The sequence below is a fragment of the Homo sapiens genome, chromosome 8 (genome assembly GCF_000001405.40).
Source record: "Homo sapiens chromosome 8, GRCh38.p14 Primary Assembly".
NCBI classification, from domain to species: domain Eukaryota; kingdom Metazoa; phylum Chordata; class Mammalia; order Primates; family Hominidae; genus Homo; species Homo sapiens.
The window spans coordinates 73225355-73242562 of NC_000008.11; the positions used below are offsets into that span (position 1 = coordinate 73225355).

Here is a 17208-nt window from a genome sequence, read left to right on the forward strand (position 1 = left end):
AGGTGGGGCATCATGGGGGAGCTGCTGTTGGTGTGTCCAGCTGGCACACGTACCATTTTATAGCTTTTTATGGTTGTGCTTGCATGGGGAATTTGAGTCTGCACAGATATATTGCAGCTTAAATGGACTGGGTCTTTTTTTCCTTGAGGACACCGAATACACTGTGTCACGCACCTGTGTGTTGACTGTGATCCATCACATGTGATCAGATCTGGGATTTTCCACTTGCGGGGTCATGTCAGTGCTCAAAAAGTTTTGGATTTTGCAGCACTTTCAATTTTCCCATTAGGGATATTCAACATGCATTTAATATGTACCAACATAGAGTAGCCACAGAATAGATGAACCACTGCTCAATAATAGCCCACTAGAGTAATAATTATTATCACTATTTTTCGTGTGGAAGGACAAGGCTTTTCTCTCCCTCACCACCACCCCCCAGCCCTCCACCACCACCACCCTTTTTTTTGGCTCCTGCCCTCACCCTTGTTTGGAAGGGGAGCTTCACTTGAATAACACATCAAAGAAGTGCATGGGAGTGGCCTCATTTGCCAGGAGGGAAATGGGTTGGTTTCATAGGTGTTCCACTGTGAAAAGACTAAAAGACCAGGATTACCTCTAAGGAGGAGGACCATTTACAAGCTGCTACCGTCCCATCTCCTCAGGAAAAATAATCGCCAGAACCTTGATCTCCCCTGCCAAGGTGGGGGAGCAGGGAGGCTACAGAGGTTAAAAACAAAGAGGGAGGACACCAGGAAGACAGGATTCCTGGATGCCCAATTCACTCCGACTATATGAGTAAAGTCAAAAGCATTTTCCACTACCATTTGGGCTCCGTAAGTGTTGATTACCGGATGCCCACAAGATTTTTTTATGGTGATGGGCAGTGACACATGGCCTTTCCATAGGAAGATGTTGCTCCCATCCAGCCCAACTCCTTACTGTAAAGGTTCCCTTCTCTCGCCACTCCCTCTCCCTGCATTTCACAGGCTGTTCATGCTGAAGGGCACATCCAAGTTCACTAGTTCAAGTGTCCCTGGAAGGAAGATCTGGTCCTCCGTCTGATCTCTGTGTTAGAGACCTCAGCTAGAACCAAACAAAACCAACAGACTTGGTGGGACTGGAGGCAACGTCAAATGGCCTCAGGGTTCTGTGTGGGTTTCGTTGAGTTTTTGCTTCCTTGGGCGTCATATTCTCCTCCTTGTCTCTTTTCCCCTCGATCCCTCCCACCTTCCCACCTGGGAACACTTAGCCATGCCTACCACTCATAATTGCCCTCAATTTGGCATTCAATCCTCACATTAGGGACCCACCCCAGACTCAGCCACACCCAGACTCTACTTCAGCCTCAGTCTCAGTCAGTAGAAAAGCCTGGAAGGCAGAGCAGAGTAGCATCTCAGACGCACCCGTGGCCCCCGGTTCTAATACTGCTTTTACCTTGTGATCTCTGCTGATTATTCTCCATCTCCTTACCCACATCCACTCTCTGTTCACCCTGCTCTGCACCTCAAGAAGCTGACTCCCGTGGAATGCAGGACCTGTGCTCCATTATCAACAGACTGTGAACAGGGGTTGGCCATGGGAGGCACACAGGCAGGAGGTGGAAAGAGGGAGTAGAAAGAGTCAGGAACTTCCCTGCTCCCCATGCGGCACCATCTCTGGCATCCCTCATAACCACAGCTCCTACCAGGCAGCACTTCTTCTGCAGTGCCTGTTCCTACTGGCTCTCCCTTTGGCCCTTTAGCCCTAAGGGTGGCAACAGCTTTTCACTGTGTTAGTCTCCAGGTACATCACAATCGTGTCTGCTTCTTTAACCCTGTCCATAAAGTCTCTTCATTTGAGCCATTTCCTAAGAGGAGCCCTACCAATACATGGTCAAGCCATCTTCTTCTTCTTCTACTCCTGGGTGCTTATCTTCATTCCTACCTAATACCATACTTTGGTTTCTCTGGGGAGAGGTGTAATGAATACTGTAGTGTGCCATCCAAATTGCATCTTGAGAGCTGCAGTACTTGCTCCTCAGTTGCTGAGAGTGTCCACAGGAGAGGCCCTCCTGAGAAATTTCCCTCGGCAGAAGAGATCTACCTTGCCCAGGGTCGCACCCCATGATCCATGATCCCATGATCTTGTGGCTGACTAGTGCAGGGAGGGGTGGAGTTTATAAAGGTGAAATCTCCTTGCCTCAGAGCAGGAAAATCCTGAAGGTCTTTTCCAGTTCCACAGATCCATGTGGGATTGGTGGAAGCCTTCACTGAGGCTGCACTGCTGTTCAAGTCCTCTGCCCAATCATTTTGCTTGCCCACCCTCCTGGGAACTGTTACTGAAGGCACAGCCAGTAAAATTCTGGCACATGTGGAGTTCTCTTCCCTGGGAACATGTCCTTAGGCAATGAGTTCTTGACTAAAGACCAGGAAGTGGTCTCTCAACTATATGCTGCTAGTCTTTGAAGACAGGGCCTGCCAGACTAGACTCAATTTCCTTCTTCCATCTGGTCCTACCCTATGTTTGCCACTTAGCTGTCCAGGTATCCTACCTGTTCTCCACCCTTTGGAAATTCCATCCCATCTCCCTCACCTTACTCAGAGTCCAGCATCTCTGATCTGAACCATCTCATCGCCAACTAACATCCTTTCTTGCAAAATAATAAAGATTCTTCTCAGTTCACATGAGGTGCTGGGGATAGTGCTAGGTACTAGGGACATAGAAATGAGTAAGAAGTAGTTTCTGCCTTGGAGGAGCTCGAATCCCACATGTGCCAATTTACCAGCTGTAGACTTTGTTAAGGAGAATGAGAAGAGGTGGCTTGAAAAGTAAAAGGAGAAAGAAAATAATGCTCTGGAAGCCTCCTCAAGGAAGAGAGATCCACTGTGTCAAAAGGTGCTTGACAGGGCAAATAAGGACTGAGAATTGTCACTGGCTTTGGCCACATGGAAGTTACCAGAAACCTTGACAAGAGCTGTTTTAGTGCAGTGGTGATGCCAACTGCCTAATTGGAGTGGGTTCAAGAGAGCCAGGAGGTTGAGGAAGGAAGACTGAGTCCAGGGCACTCTGGAGTTTTGCTATAAAGGGAAGCAAAGAAATGAAGTAGCAGGTGACAAGAGGGATGCTTGTTCATTTAAGACAGATTTTGTAGCAAGTTTCTATGCTGGTGGAAATGATCAAATTTAGAGGAAAAACTGTGATGGTTCGGGGATACATTGCTGCAGCAAGAGGAGATCGAGATGTATTTGCTGCACAAGTGAAGAGGTTGCTCTTGGGAACATGGGTAGTGCACGTCTGAGAACAGAAGCAGGTAGGGTTATAGATTAGCATTTAGGGTGCTGGAAGTTCTCTTCTGACTCCGTCTATTTAATATTTTCTTAGTGAAATAAAGAGATGGGTCATAAGCTCAGAATAGGAGGCTGAGGGAAGGCATTGGTGATTTGAAAAGAAAAGAGGTGCCTAATAGTCACCCAGGAGAATGGAGTAAAGATGAGTTGACTAGGAATTGTAAAATTGGTTTACTGGGAAGTTTCAACAAGATAGTAGATGAAAAGCATTTAGTGCAATGGCCTGCACATAATTCGCCTGCAAAAAACATTAGTTATTATTAAATCAACTTGGTGATGATCATGCTGCCTGTAAACAAAGTGTTCTGAGAACAGAGAAGAAGCATCCACTTTAGGAAGAATTAGGAAACTATCCCCAGAGGCAGTGAATTAAGAGCTGGTCTTGAAAAGAGGGAGGAGGAAGATTACAATTACTTAAAGAACACTATGTGCTAAACATACTACTGCCACTGAGAATGAGCGAGCCAGCGGCTTGTTTTTGTAAATAACGTGTTATTGGAACACAGTCATGCCCATTAATTTACAGATTGTCTATAACCGTTTTCATGCTACAATGTCAGAGTTAAGTAGCTGCAATAGAGACTGTATGGTCGGCAAAGCCTAAAATATTTACCCTCTAGCCTTTTTACCAAAAAAAAAGTTTGCCAATCCCTGGACATAGAATTAAATAAAGAGTGATTGTAGATCAAAGAAAATAAATAATATCATTACAAAATTAATAAATTAGAAACAGCAAGGAAGAAGAGTCACAACTAGAAACTGAACTGCTGACTTAGAAGAATGCTAAGATAATCAACAGTGAATGCATCCGTGGGAGAAAAAAATTCCACAGATTCAAGGAATCAGAAAGAAAATAGAAAATATTGACAAATTCTTATTCTCCAATTCTCTAGATATTTAGAACAGATGAAGATGATCCCAAATAAGGATATTTGGTGTCCCTGAAGTAGAGAACTCAAAACTATGGAATAGAAAGAGTAAGTATTCAAAGATTTAATAAAAGAAAAATTTCCAAAAATGCAGAAAGAATGGACTCTACAGCCTTGAAAGAATACACCATGTTCCAGGACATCTTGAACTGGTACTACCTACAGTGAATCATACTTTAATTCAGTTTCAAAAATCAAGAAAATCTTGAGGCATCCCCACAGAAACAGCCAATAATCTACAAGGGATAAAACATGGTGAGGAATCAGATTTCTCCATGGTAACAATTAATACCAGAAGACAACGGAAAACATCCATATAGGTCTGAAGGGAAGAAAAATGAGACGGAGTTTCGCTCTTGTTGCCCAGGCTAGAGTGCAATGGCACGATCTCGGCTCACTGCAACCTCCACTTCCCGGGAGGTTGTTTCAGGCAATTCTCCTGTCTCAGCCTCCTGGATAGCTGGGATTACAGGTGCCTGCCACTATGCCAAGCTAATTTTTGTATTTTTAGTAGAGGCAGAGTTTTGCCATGTTGGCCAGGCTGGTCATGAGAAGAGCTTTTAAAAATTACCCCAGTTCAAGAGGCCACCCCAAACCAATTAGATCAGAATCTGTGGGGGTGGAACCTGGACAATGGTAATTCGCAGATGTTTGCCAGGTGATTCTGAGTACAGACGATTCTCAAGCAGGTCTACGGAAAGTGTGGTCTGTGGACAGGCAGCGTCAGCATCACCTGGGAGTCTGTGAGAAATGCAAGTTCTCAGGCCCCACTCCAGACCTACAAGAGTCTGGATTTTAACAAGCTCTCCAGGAGATCTGGAGGCATGCTTCAGTTTCAAAAGCCTTACAGAGGAATCTTTAAGGAAAGAAGACCTAGATCTAAGTTTGGAGATAAATCTAAAAATTGATCTAAATATGAATTTATAATATATAATTTTAAAAGTAATAATATTTGAATTTAAGCAATGTCACATTTTTACTGAAGTTTTTCTTATAGCAGAGTAAAAATTAAGTTGAATAACTTTAAGTATAGCATACGTAGAATCATCCAATTTTAAATGGCATCTGATGTTATTTATGAGTGATGAGATTTGAGGTGCTTTTTAGACTTCTTTTTTGTACCATTCCACATTGCTGAAATTCCTAAAAATATCCATTATTTTTCAAAATTACTAAAGTGATTTTTCTCATTAAAAAAACCCTCTATATGTTAATCTGATGAGGATGATCATGATCTGTAATTCACACCAACCAAATTCACAGAGACTGTGAAGCAGAATAGCAATTCATTAATTAACATACTCATTCCCAGATCTAAAACATGTCATGAAGAGAAGGCATCTGATTTTTAGTGGACATACGTACTCGAGTCTAAATTACACACTAGAAGGCTGCTTGGTAAGCAGAAAATTACAGAAAAGGAAGTGAGCTGTCTTAGGAAATTTCTTTGAAACTATCACTACTAATGATTTGTCCTTCACCAAAGTAATTATTCTTTGTAAAGAATTGTTTTCTCAGCCTACGATCAGGAGTCCATCTTCCCATCCTAAATATTTATCATAAGGTACAGTTTCCCAAGGTTATGATTGATATTGCTTACACTGGAGGAATTTCTAAACCACAAATGCAGAAGAGTCATTGTGTTCCATCCCAAGGATGAACATCCATGGCATCTGCAATATCAGAAGTTGGCATCTCATGCTTATCTCTAAATCTTGAGTTTATCTTACTTGAGGGTGATTCGAGCTTTCTGTGAATAAAATATACACTGGTTTTTCTTAAAATTTCATGAGAAACGAAAAGAGTAAATGTGAGGTAAGGAAGTAGAGCCTGTGGTTAAAAAAAAAATTAATGAAAAACATAAATCCAATCCCAAGGCTAAAAAGGTGATTTATTATTAATGTCAGCACATCCTGTTTATTAAAAAGAAATAAACATTCCACTCCTTTCTTGAATTGGCTTCAGTTAACTCTTTCCTAGGGAAGACTGGGGCAGGGAGCAGACATAATTATTCATGTATATGGTCCCTGCTTTCCATTCTACCAGTGTAAATGCTCCATGATGTGTTCATGTCAGGAACTCAGCTCAATCTTGATTTTTTTTTTTTTTAAGACAATCTCTCTTTGTCGCCCAGGCTGGAGTGCAGTGGCGCAATCTCAGCTCACTGCAACCTCCGCCTCCCAGGCTCAAGCAATTCTTGTGCCTCAGCCTCCTGAGTAGCTGGGATTACAGGCATGTGCCGGCACACCCCGGTAATTTTTATGTATTTTTAATAGGGACAGGTTTCTCCATGTTGGCCAGGCTGGTCTCAAATTCCTGGCCTCAAAATGCTGGGGTTACAGGCATGAGCCACCACCACAAGTCCCCATGAGAGATATTTTTGTCTGTGGAAATGAAACCAACCCAATGTTCCCATAGGTAATTTTATTTTGGATAAAAATGGAAATTGATCCTTCTAGTCTTAAAACTTGAAACTTACATTTGTTTTATGTGAATTCCTTCCTCAGGGAAGGACCTTCAAGCATCTCAAAACAGAAAGTATCAAAGAACTGAAACTCATCAGATCACCACATCCAGACAGTGAGGCTGGACCACTAATTCATCATGATTGATTCCATGCTCCTCCCTAGTTCCTAGTTTCTGTTTTCTTGCATATTGTTACATTTCTTCCCTGCTATATACACCTCTAGTTTTAGTAGTTCAGGGAGATGGATTTGAGACTGAACTCCCATCTCTTTGGCTGTAGCACCCTATTAAAAGACTTCCTCCTCCGTGATAATCCTTGTCTCAGTGATTGGCTTTCTGTGTGGCGAGTAGCAGGATCTAGACTGAACCCCTGGATTTTCAGTATCAGAAGTACTATCTTGCCCTAAAGTTTAAGTGATTAAACCATTATTACATGTATCAGCTAGGTTTAAGGTTTTAAGAATAATTGTTCCATGGAGTTTATTATATCCGCTTTGAATCCTAGTAGATTGAAATCCTAGTTCTCCCACTTTCTTGCTAGAGACCTAGTGTAAAACAGAGACTCCAAATTTATCTTATTTATGAAGCAGAAATAATATCACCTACTTATTTTTTAGAGTTTTCATAAGATTTATAAATAATATTAAATGTTCAGAGTACATAGTAGGAGTTCAATATTAAATCCATCTGATAATCAAAGGTGTTTAGGAGTGTTCATCCAAAAAATAGTTAAAATTTTCTTTGAAAATTTTCTCCTGCTTCCGATTTCTTTAATCATTGACCATACTTGGAAGAGGTGATCAGAAAATAGAAACATAAATCTAAATCATTCTTAACCAAAATTCAGACATAAGCAGAAACATGTCCATTTAAGTGTAGTTAATTATTCTCCTAGGATCTAATGTATCATAATGCTTACAAACACATATGTATTAATAGCATTATGTATGAATTAATATAAAGCATGCAAGGACATAGAATATGCTCATTCTCCTGTATCTGTGATAGCTGCTGCTGCTTCTCCTTCTCCTTCCTCCTTCTTCTTCCCACTCCCCCTCCTTCTTCTCCTCCTTTCTTCCTCTTCTGTCTTCTGTGTCTTCTGTCTTCTTCCTATTTCCTCTCATCCCTCATGAACTTGGACTCTTTCTCTCTGTACATTTTTATCATGGAAAACTCAGTCTTTGCTGTGCAAATGTTTCTCAGAGTTCCAACTCTAGTCAGTGTCTTTTTTCCATAACTACAGAGCTGCTTTTCAAATACCTGCTTGGCATCTCTATGTGGACATCCTGACGGCACCTTAAACCGAATATGTCTGAAGTTGCATTTATGATCTTATTCCCCTGCAAATTAGCATATCCTTCTGATATGCTTATCTCTAAGATTGGAAACCTGAGCTAGTTTTGATTCTTCCTTTCTTGATATTCTATAGCTAAACAATTGATCTTAAGTCCTCTCCCTTGATATCCTAATTATCCAGTCCCTCCTTCCCATTCCTGCTTCCCAATGGTTTCCCAACCTTCAGTGTCCCCCTGTTACCGTCTAGCCTACAAATGATACTTAGATGAACCTTCATCCTTAATCACCGAAGCAATAACTTACTTGCATTCTCAAAATCTCCCACTGGGAAACATTAAATATAAACTCATGCTTGGCATCTGAGGCTCTCTACCACAGATGATCAAGTTATCTTTTGGGACCTATTGCCCTCTATTCCTTTGTCCCTGAGGTTGTGCATGAATGGCCCCAAAAAGCCAGATCTAGCTTGCAGATATAATTTTCTTTGGGAAACACAATGGCTTTATAAATTTTGAATTAGCTGCTTATTTCAAATTAGTTGTTAACATTTATACATTGGAAGGTTTTCTCATGTAGAAATCCAGATTCTGGCTTCTGGATCCCAACATGAAAAGTTGGGATGTCTGGCAGCTTTGAACCTGCATGGCACAAAGGGCTGAGGCTAGGCAGCCAGAGCCCTTTGAAAGGGAGAAACAGGCCCCAGTTCACTACAGCCTTCACCTGACTGGTGTCACTCAATCTGGTGCTGGCTTGGTGCCTTCATGCACGTGGATTTATGACACTTGCTCTAGAATACCTAGTGCTCAGCCAAGTGCGACATTCCCAAATGCATAGTGTCTTTACTTCTGTTTCCCCCTCTTTCTGAAAATGCCCTCTCCTTCCTTCTTTCCTGTCTTTACGGCCCATTTCTAACACCATATCTTCCTTGAAGCTTTCTGTGAGCACCCCGCTGGATGTGACTGCCCGTTTGTAAACGTCTGTAACACTCTGTGGCTTTCTTATGGCCCAGAGCCCACCCTCCTTGGCATCACAGTCATATCCTTGCTTTCTCCCTGTTTCTCAGGAAGAGATAGAGATGTACACTTTTCCCCACTCCTCAGGCTTTTTCAAAAAGGGGTTTTCCTCTTGACCTAGACTTTCTTTCTCCTCTCCATAGAGATGAAGAGCATCTGTCCCCACCTCCCTTTCTCCTCAGGGACCTGCCTGTCTACACAGTGAAGAGGCCTTGTTATGCTTGGCAGTAAAGGCGCTGATGTGCAGGTGAGACTGAGGGTGTTCACACTACCTGTGCGTGTCCATCTGCCCGATTCTGAAGGACAGTAATGGGAAGCCCCTTATTGCTACACATCTAAGACAGGGCTTCCTATCCTGCGTTGATCAGCAAACCAAGCTAAATTTTCATTGTCATCTGCCTGAATACTTATCTAGCAACTGTTTCCAAACTCAAGCAGGGAAAAAAGAAATTTTTATGACCTCAACAATAAGACCTCACTTTTTATTATTATTAAGTTCTAGGGTACTTGTGCATAAGGGACAGGTTTGATACATAGGTATACATGTGTCATGTTGGTTTGTTGCATCCATCAACTCGTCATTTACATTAGGTATTTCTCCTAATGCTATCCCTCCCCCAGACCCCCACCCCCTGACAGGCCCTGGTGTGTGATGTTCCCCACCCTGTGTCCAAGTGTTCTCATTGTTCAATTCCACCTATGACTGAGAACATGCAGTGTTTGGTTTTCTGTCTTTGTGATAGTTTGCTGAGAATGATAGTTTCCAGCTTCATCCATGTCCCTGCAAAGGTCATGAACTCATCCTCTTTTATGGCTGCATAGTATTCCATGGTGTATATGTGCCACATTTTCTTAATCCAGTCTATCATTGATGGACATTTGGGTTGATTCCAAGTCTTTGCTATTGTGAATAGTGCTGCAATAAACATACATGTGCATGTCTTTATAGTAGCATGATTTATAATCCTTTGGGTATATATCCTAATGGGATTACTGGGTCAAATGGTATTTCTAGTTCTAGATCCTTGAGGAATTGCCACACTGTCTTCCACAATGGTTGAACTAATTTACACTCCCACCAACAGTGTAAAAGCATTCCTATTTCTCCACATCCTCTCTAGCATCTGTTGTTTCCTGACCTTTTAATGATTGCCATTCTAACTGGCATGAGATGGTATCTCATTGTGGTTTTGATTTGCATTTCTCTCATGACCAGTGATGATGAGCATTTTTTCGGGTGTCTGTTGGCTGCATAAATGTCTTCTTTTGAGAAGTGTCTATTCATATCCTTTGCTCACTTTTTGATGGGGTTGTTTTTTCCTGTAAATTTGTTTGAGTTCTTTGTAGATTCTGGATATTGGCCCTTTGTCAGATGGGTAGATTGCAAAAATTTTCTCCCATTCTGTAGGTTGCCTGTTCACTCTGATAGTAGTTTCTTTTGCTGTGCAGAAGCTCTTTAGTTTAATTAGATCCTATTTGTCTATTTTGGCTTTTGTTGCCATTGCTTTTGGTGTTTTAGTCATGAAGTCCTTGCCCATGCCTATGTCCTGAATGGTATTGCCTAGGTTTTCTTTTAGGGTTTTTATGGTTTTAGGTCTAACATTTAAGTCTTTAATCCATCTTGAATTAATTTTTGTATAAGGTGTAAGGAAGGGATCCAGTTTCAGCTTTCTACATATGGCTATCCAGTTTTCCCAGCACCACTTATTAAATAGGGAATCCTTTCCCCATTTCTTGTTTTTGTCAGGTTTGTCAAAGATCAGATGGTTGTAGATGTGTGGTGTTATTTCTGAGGCCTCTGTTCTGTTCCATTGGTCTATATCTCTGTTTTGATACCAGTTCCATGCTGTTTTGGTTACTGTAGCCTTGTAGTATAGTTTGAAGTCAGGTAGTGTGATGCCTCCAGCTTTGTTCTTTTTGCTTAGGATTGTCTTGGCAATGTGGGCTCTTTTTTGGTTCCATATGAAATTTAAAGTAGTTTTTTTCCAATTGTGTGAAGAAAGTCATTGGTAGCTTAATGCAGATGGCATCGAATCTATAAATTAACTTGGGTGGGTATGGCCATTTTCATGATATTGATTCTTCTTATCCATGAGCATGGAATGTTCTTCCATTTGTCTCTGTCTTCTTTAATTTTGTTGAGCAGTGGTTTGTAGTTCTCCTTGAAGAGGTCCTTCACATCCCTTGTAAGTTGGATTCCTAGGTATTTTATTCTCTTTGTAGCAATTGTGAATGGGAGTTCACTCATGATTCGGCTCTCTGTTTGTCTGTTATTGGTGTATAGGAATGCTTGTGATTTTTGCACATTGATTTTGTATCCTGAGACGTTGCTGAAGTTGCTTATCGGCTTAAGGAGATTTTGGGCTGAGACAATGGAGTTTTCTAAATATACAATCATGTCATCTGCAAACAGGGACAATTTGACTTCCTCTTTTCCTAATTGAATATGCTTTATTTCTTTCTTTTGCCTGATTGCCTTGGCCAGAACTTCCAACACTATGTTGAATAGGAGTGGTGAGAGAGGGCATCCTTGTCTTGTGCCGGTTATCAAAGGGAATGTTTCCAGTTTTTGCCCATTCAGTATGATATTGGCTGTGGGTTTATCATAAATAGCTGTTATAATTTTGAGATACGTTCCATCAATACCTAGTGTATTGAGAGTTTTTAGCATGAAGGGGTGTTGAATTTTGTCAAAGGCCTTTTCTGCATCTATTGAGATAATCATGTGGTTTTTGTCATTGGTTCTGTTGATGTGATGGGTTACATTTATTGATTTGCATATGTTGAGCCAGCCTTGCATCCCAGGGATGAAGCCAACTTGATCATGGTGGATAAACTTTTTGATGTGCTGCTGGATTCGGTTTGCCAGTATTTCATTGAGGATTTTTTCATTGATGTTCATCAGGGATATTGGTCTAAAATTCTCTTTTTTTGTTGTGTGTCTGCCAGGCTTTGCTATAAGGATGATGCTGGCCTAATAAAATGAGTTAGGGAGGACACCTTCTTTTTCTATTGATTGGAATAGTTTCAGAAGGAATGGTACCAGCTTCTCTTTGTACATCTGGTAGAATTCAGCTGTGAATCCGTCTGGTCCTGGACTTTTTTTAGTTGGTAGGCTATTAATTATTGCCTCAATTTCAGAGCCTGTTATTGGTCTATTCAGAGACTCAACTTCTTTCTGGTTTAGTCTTGGGAGAGTGTATGTGTCCAGAAATTTATCCATTTCTTCTAGATTTTCTAGTTTATTTGCATAAAGGTATTTATAGTATTCTCTGATGGTAGTTTGTATTTCTGTGGGATCAGTGGTCTATCATTTTTTATTGCTTCTATTTGATTCTTCTCTTTTTCATCTTTATTAGTCTGGCTAGTGGTCTATCAATTTTGTTGATCTTTTCAAAAAACCAGCTCCTGGATTCATTGATTTTTTGAAGGGTTTTTTGTGTCTCTATCTCCTTCAGTTCTGCTCTGATCTTTGTTATTTCTTGCCTTCTTCTAGCTTTTGGATTTGTTTGCTCTTGCTTCTCTAGTTCTTTTAATTGTGATGTTAGGGTGTCAATTTTAGATCTTTCCTGCTTTCTCTTCTGAGCATTTAGTGCTATAAATTTCCCTCTACACACTGCTTTAAATGTGTCCCAGAGATTCTGGTACGTTTTGTCTTTGTTCTCATTGGTTTCAAAGAGCATCTTTATTTCTGCCTTCATTTCGTTATTTACCCAGTAGTCATTCAGGAGCAGGTTGTTCAGTTTCCACGTAGTTGTGTGGTTTTGAGTGAGTTTCTTAATCCTGAGTTCTAGTTTGATTGCACTGTGGTCCGAGAGACAGTTTGCTGTGATTTCTGTTCTTTTACATTTGCTGAGGAGTGCTTTGCTTCCAATTATGTGGTCAATTTTAGAATAAGTCCGATGTGGTGCTGAGAAGAATGTATATTCTGTTGATTTGGAGTATGGAGTTCTGTAGATGTCTATTAGGTCTGCTTGGTGCAGAGCTGAGTTCAAGTCCCGGATATCCTTGTTAACCTTCTGTCTCGATCTGTCTAATATTCACAGGGGGGTGTTAAAGTCTACCATTATTATTGTATGGGAATCTAAGTCTCTTTATAGGTCTCCAAGGACTTGCTTTATGAATCTGGGTGCTCCTGTATTGGATGCATATATATTTAGGATAGTTCACTCTTCTTGTTGAATTGATCCCTTTACCATTATGTAATGGCCTTCTTTGTCTCTTTCGATCTTTGTTGGTTTAAAGTCTGTTTTATCAGAGACTAGGATTGCAACCCCTCCTTTTTTTGCTTTCCATTTGCTTGGTAGATCTTCCTCCATCCCTTTATTTTGAGCCTATGTGTGTCTTTGCATGTGAGATGGGTCTCCTGAATATAGCATACTGATGGATCTTGATTCTTTATTCAATTTGTCAGTCTATATCTTTTAATTGGGGCATTTAGCCCATTTACATTTAAGGCTAAAATTGTTATGTGTGAATTTGATCCTGTCATTATGATGTTAGCTGGTTATTTTGCCCATTAATTGATGCAGTTTCTTCACAGCATCAATGGTCTTTACTATTTGGCATGTTTTTGCAGTGGCTGGTACCAGTTGTTTCTTTCCATGTTTAGTGCTTCCTTCAGGAGCTCTTGTAAGGCAGGCCTGGTGGTGACAGACTCTCTCAGCATTTGCTTGTCTGCAAAGGATTTTTTTTCCTTCACTTATGAAACTTAGTTTGGCTGGATATGAAATTCTGGGTTGAAAATTATTTTCTTTAAGAATGCTGAATATTGGCCCCCACTCTCCTCCGGCTTGTAAGTTTTCTGCCAAGAGATCCACGGTCAGTCTGATGGGTTTCGCTTTGTGGGTAACCCAACCTTTCTCTCTGGCTACCCTTAACATTTTTTCCTTCATTTCAACCTTGGTAAATCTGACAATTATGTGTCTTGGGGTTGCTCTTCTTAAAGAGTATCTTTGTGGTGTTCTCTGCATTTCCTGAATTCAAAGGTTGGCCTGCCTTGCTAGGTTGGAAAAGTTCTCCTGGATAATATCCTGAAGAGTGTTTTCCAACTTGGTTCCATTCTCCCCATCAGTTTCAGGTACACCAATGAAACATAGATTTGGTCTTTTCACATAGTCCCATATTTCTTGGAGGTTTTGTTTGTTTCTTTTTACTCTTTTTTCTCTAAACTTCTCTTCTTGCTTTATTTCATTAATTTGATCTTCAATCACTGATACACTTTCTTCCACTTGATAGAATCAGCTATTGAAGCTTGTGCATGCGCCACGAAGTTCTCATGCCATGGTTTTCAGCTCCACCAGGTCATTTAAGGTCTTCTCTACACTGTTTATTCTAGGTAGCCAGTCATCTAACCTTTTTTCAAGGTTTTTAGCTTCCTTGCAATGGGTTTGAACATGCTCCTTTAGCTCAGAGAAGTTTGTTATTACCAACCTTCTGAAGCCTACTTCTGTCAACTAGTCAAAATCATTCTCCGTCCAGCTTTGTTCCATTGCTGGCAAGGAGCTGCAATCCTTTGGAGGAGAAGAGGCGCTCTGGTTTTTAGAATTTTCAGCTTTTCTGCTTTGGTTTCTCCCCATCTTTGTGGTTTTGTCTACCTTTGGTCTTTGATGTTGTTGACCTACAGATGGGGTTTTGGTGTAGATGTCCTTTTTGTTGATGTTGGTGCTATTCCTTTCTGTTTGTTAGTTTTCCTTCCAATAGTTAGGTCCCTCAGCTGCAGGTCTGTTGGAGTTTGCTGGAGGTCCACTCCAGACCCTGTTTTCCTGGGAGGTCCACTCCAGACCCTGTTCACCAGCAGAGGCTGCAGAACAGCTGCAACAGCTGCAGGTCTGTTGGAGTTTGCTGGAGGTCCACTCCAGACCCTGTTCACCAGCGGAGGCTGCAGAACAGCAAATGTTGCAGAACAGCAAATATTGCTGCCTGATCCTTCCTCTGGAAGCTTAGTCCCAGAAGGGCACCCACCTATATGAGGTGTCTCTCGGCCCCTATTGGGAGGTGTCTCCCAGTTAGGCTACACGGGAGTCAGGGACTCACTTGAGAAGGCAGTCTGCCCGTTCTCAGAGCTCAAACACCATGCTGGGAGAACCACTGCTGTCTTCAGAGCTGTCAAACAGGGACGTTTAAGTCTGCAGAAGCTGTCTGCTGCCTTTTGTTCAGCTATGCCCTGCCCACAGAGGTGGAGTCTCTAGAGGCCTTGCTGAGCTGCGGTGGGCTCCGCCCAGTTCGAGCTTCCTGGCTGCTTTGTTTACCTACTCGAGCCTCAGCAATGGCAGACGCCCCTCCCCCAGCCAGACTGCCACCTCGCAGTTAGATCTTAGACTGCTTCGCTAGCAGTGAGCAAGGCCCCATGGGCATGGGACCTGCCAAGCCAGGCACAGGAGAGAATCTCCTTGTCTGCCAGTTGCTAAGACCTTGGGAAAAGCACAGTATTTGGGCAGGAGTGTCCCATTTTTCCAGGTACAGTCTGTCACAGCTTCCCTTGGCTAGGAAAGGGAAATCCCCTGACCCCTTGCACTTCCCGGGTGAGGCGACGCCCTGCCCTGCTTCAGTTCATCCTCCATGGGCTGCACCCACTGTTCAACCAGTCCCAATGAAATGAACCAGGTACCTCAGTTGGAAATGCAGAAATCACCTGTCTTCTGTGTCAATCACGCTGGGAGCTGCAGACCAGAGCTGTTCCTATTCGGCCATCTTGCACTGCCCTCAAGACCTCTCTTTTTCTTCAATCTTCCCCAGCAGCTAGCCAAGGTCATTGCACAAAATAGACACTCAAGAGTATCAAATTGAATCAAAACACACAATCAATGTACATAAAATTCATGGAATAAAATTTATCTTATGCTTATTTTCCCATAAACCATAATTTATAGTCCTTCAACATAAATAAGGAAAAAATATAATTTATCTCTGTAATGTTAACAAAATACAAATGACTCATCTATAATGTAAAATATTTATTTATTTACATTTCCATTTTTATATAAATCATTTTGCATCATATCATATAAAAAAAGAAAATATAAAGCTTAAAAGTCACTGAAGAAAGCATCACACTGTACGACATTTTTCAGCGGTCTCGGAGGTCTCGTTTCTTGCTTTTTTTTGATTTTGTGGTTGTTTCCTGACGAATGGTATCATATTCCAATATGGCTATTTTGGAAAGTCTCTCTAAGTATTGAGATGGTGCTCCAGTGAGAGGATCACTGAAGCCAGAACCTGGAGGAGGAGGTGGGGAGTCAGCTATTAAAATGAATTAAGCACACATGAATAATATTCTATTAAATATAATGTGACTGAAATATTTCTTCCACAAATGACTATTACACACTACTAGTTCTTATACTACAGAGCTATACTAACCCAAAAAAAAGCATGCATAAAAACAGACACACAAACCAATAGAACAGAATAAACAACCCAGAAACAAATCTATACATCTATAGTGGATTCATTTTTAACAAAAGTGCCAAGAATATACACTAGGGAAAAGATAGTCTCATCAATAAATGGTGCTGGGAAAACTGGGTATTATGGATATTATAAAACTGGAGATTATGCAGAAAAATGAAACCAGATCGCATCTCTCGACATATAAAAAAAAATCGAAATGGATTAAAGACTTAAATCTAAGACCTCAAACTATGAATACTAAAAGAAAGCATTGGGGAAACTCTCCAGGACATGGGAGTGGTCAAAGATTTCCTGAGTAATACCCCAGAAGCACAGGCAATCAAAGCAAAAATGGACAAATGAGATCACATCAAGTTATTAATAAAAAGTGTCTGCACAGCAAAGGAAACAATCAACAAAATGAAAAGAACCTACAGAATGGGAGAAAATATTTGCAGACTACCCATCTGACAAGGGATTAACAACCAGAATATATAAGGAGCTTAAACAACTCTATGGGAAAAGTCTAATAATCCCATTTTAAAATGGGCAAAAGGGGTGGCTCACGTCTATAATCCCAGCACTTTGGGAGGCTGAGGTGAGCAGATCCCTTGAGCTCAGAAGTTCAAGACCAGCCTGGGCAACATAGCAAAACCCTGTCTCATTTAAACTCTCATGTTAATAAAAATTAATTAATTAATTAGTTAAATGGGCCAAAAGACCTGAATAGACATTTCTGAAAAGAAGACACGCAAACAGCAAACAGGCATATGAAATATGGTC

The 17208-nt window shown here is 41.1% G+C and overlaps 1 protein-coding gene and 1 long non-coding RNA gene across 6 annotated transcripts in view, besides 1 other annotated feature; one reads left to right on the forward strand and one right to left on the reverse strand.

The window, feature by feature from the left end:
- The window catches only part of LOC105375901 (uncharacterized), a 37845-nt gene that overhangs the window by 944 nt on the left and 19693 nt on the right, over positions 1–17208 (forward strand). The window contains exons 2-3 of the long non-coding RNA XR_929046.3: positions 4223–4306; positions 6766–9280. This is a non-coding gene — a long non-coding RNA (uncharacterized LOC105375901). The remainder of the gene's footprint in view (positions 1–4222; positions 4307–6765; positions 9281–17208) is intronic.
- Positions 14852–15451: an enhancer, noted in NCBI's record as "NANOG-H3K27ac-H3K4me1 hESC enhancer chr8:74152441-74153040 (GRCh37/hg19 assembly coordinates)". NCBI's record gives its function as "activates a minimal SCP1, AML or CMV promoter by ChIP-STARR-seq in naive H9 embryonic stem cells {active_cell/tissue: H9 hESC(naive)}" and the evidence as "EXISTENCE:reporter gene assay evidence [ECO:0000049][PMID:30033119]".
- The window catches only part of C8orf89 (chromosome 8 open reading frame 89), a 44602-nt gene continuing 43370 nt past the window's right edge, over positions 15977–17208 (reverse strand). For all 5 annotated transcript variants that reach the window (XM_047421206.1, NM_001391993.1, NM_001391995.1 and 2 more), the window contains one exon: positions 15977–16251. In XM_047421206.1, coding sequence (XP_047277162.1) covers positions 16236–16251 — 16 coding nt within the window. In that variant the 3' untranslated portion in view covers positions 15977–16235. The remainder of the gene's footprint in view (positions 16252–17208) is intronic.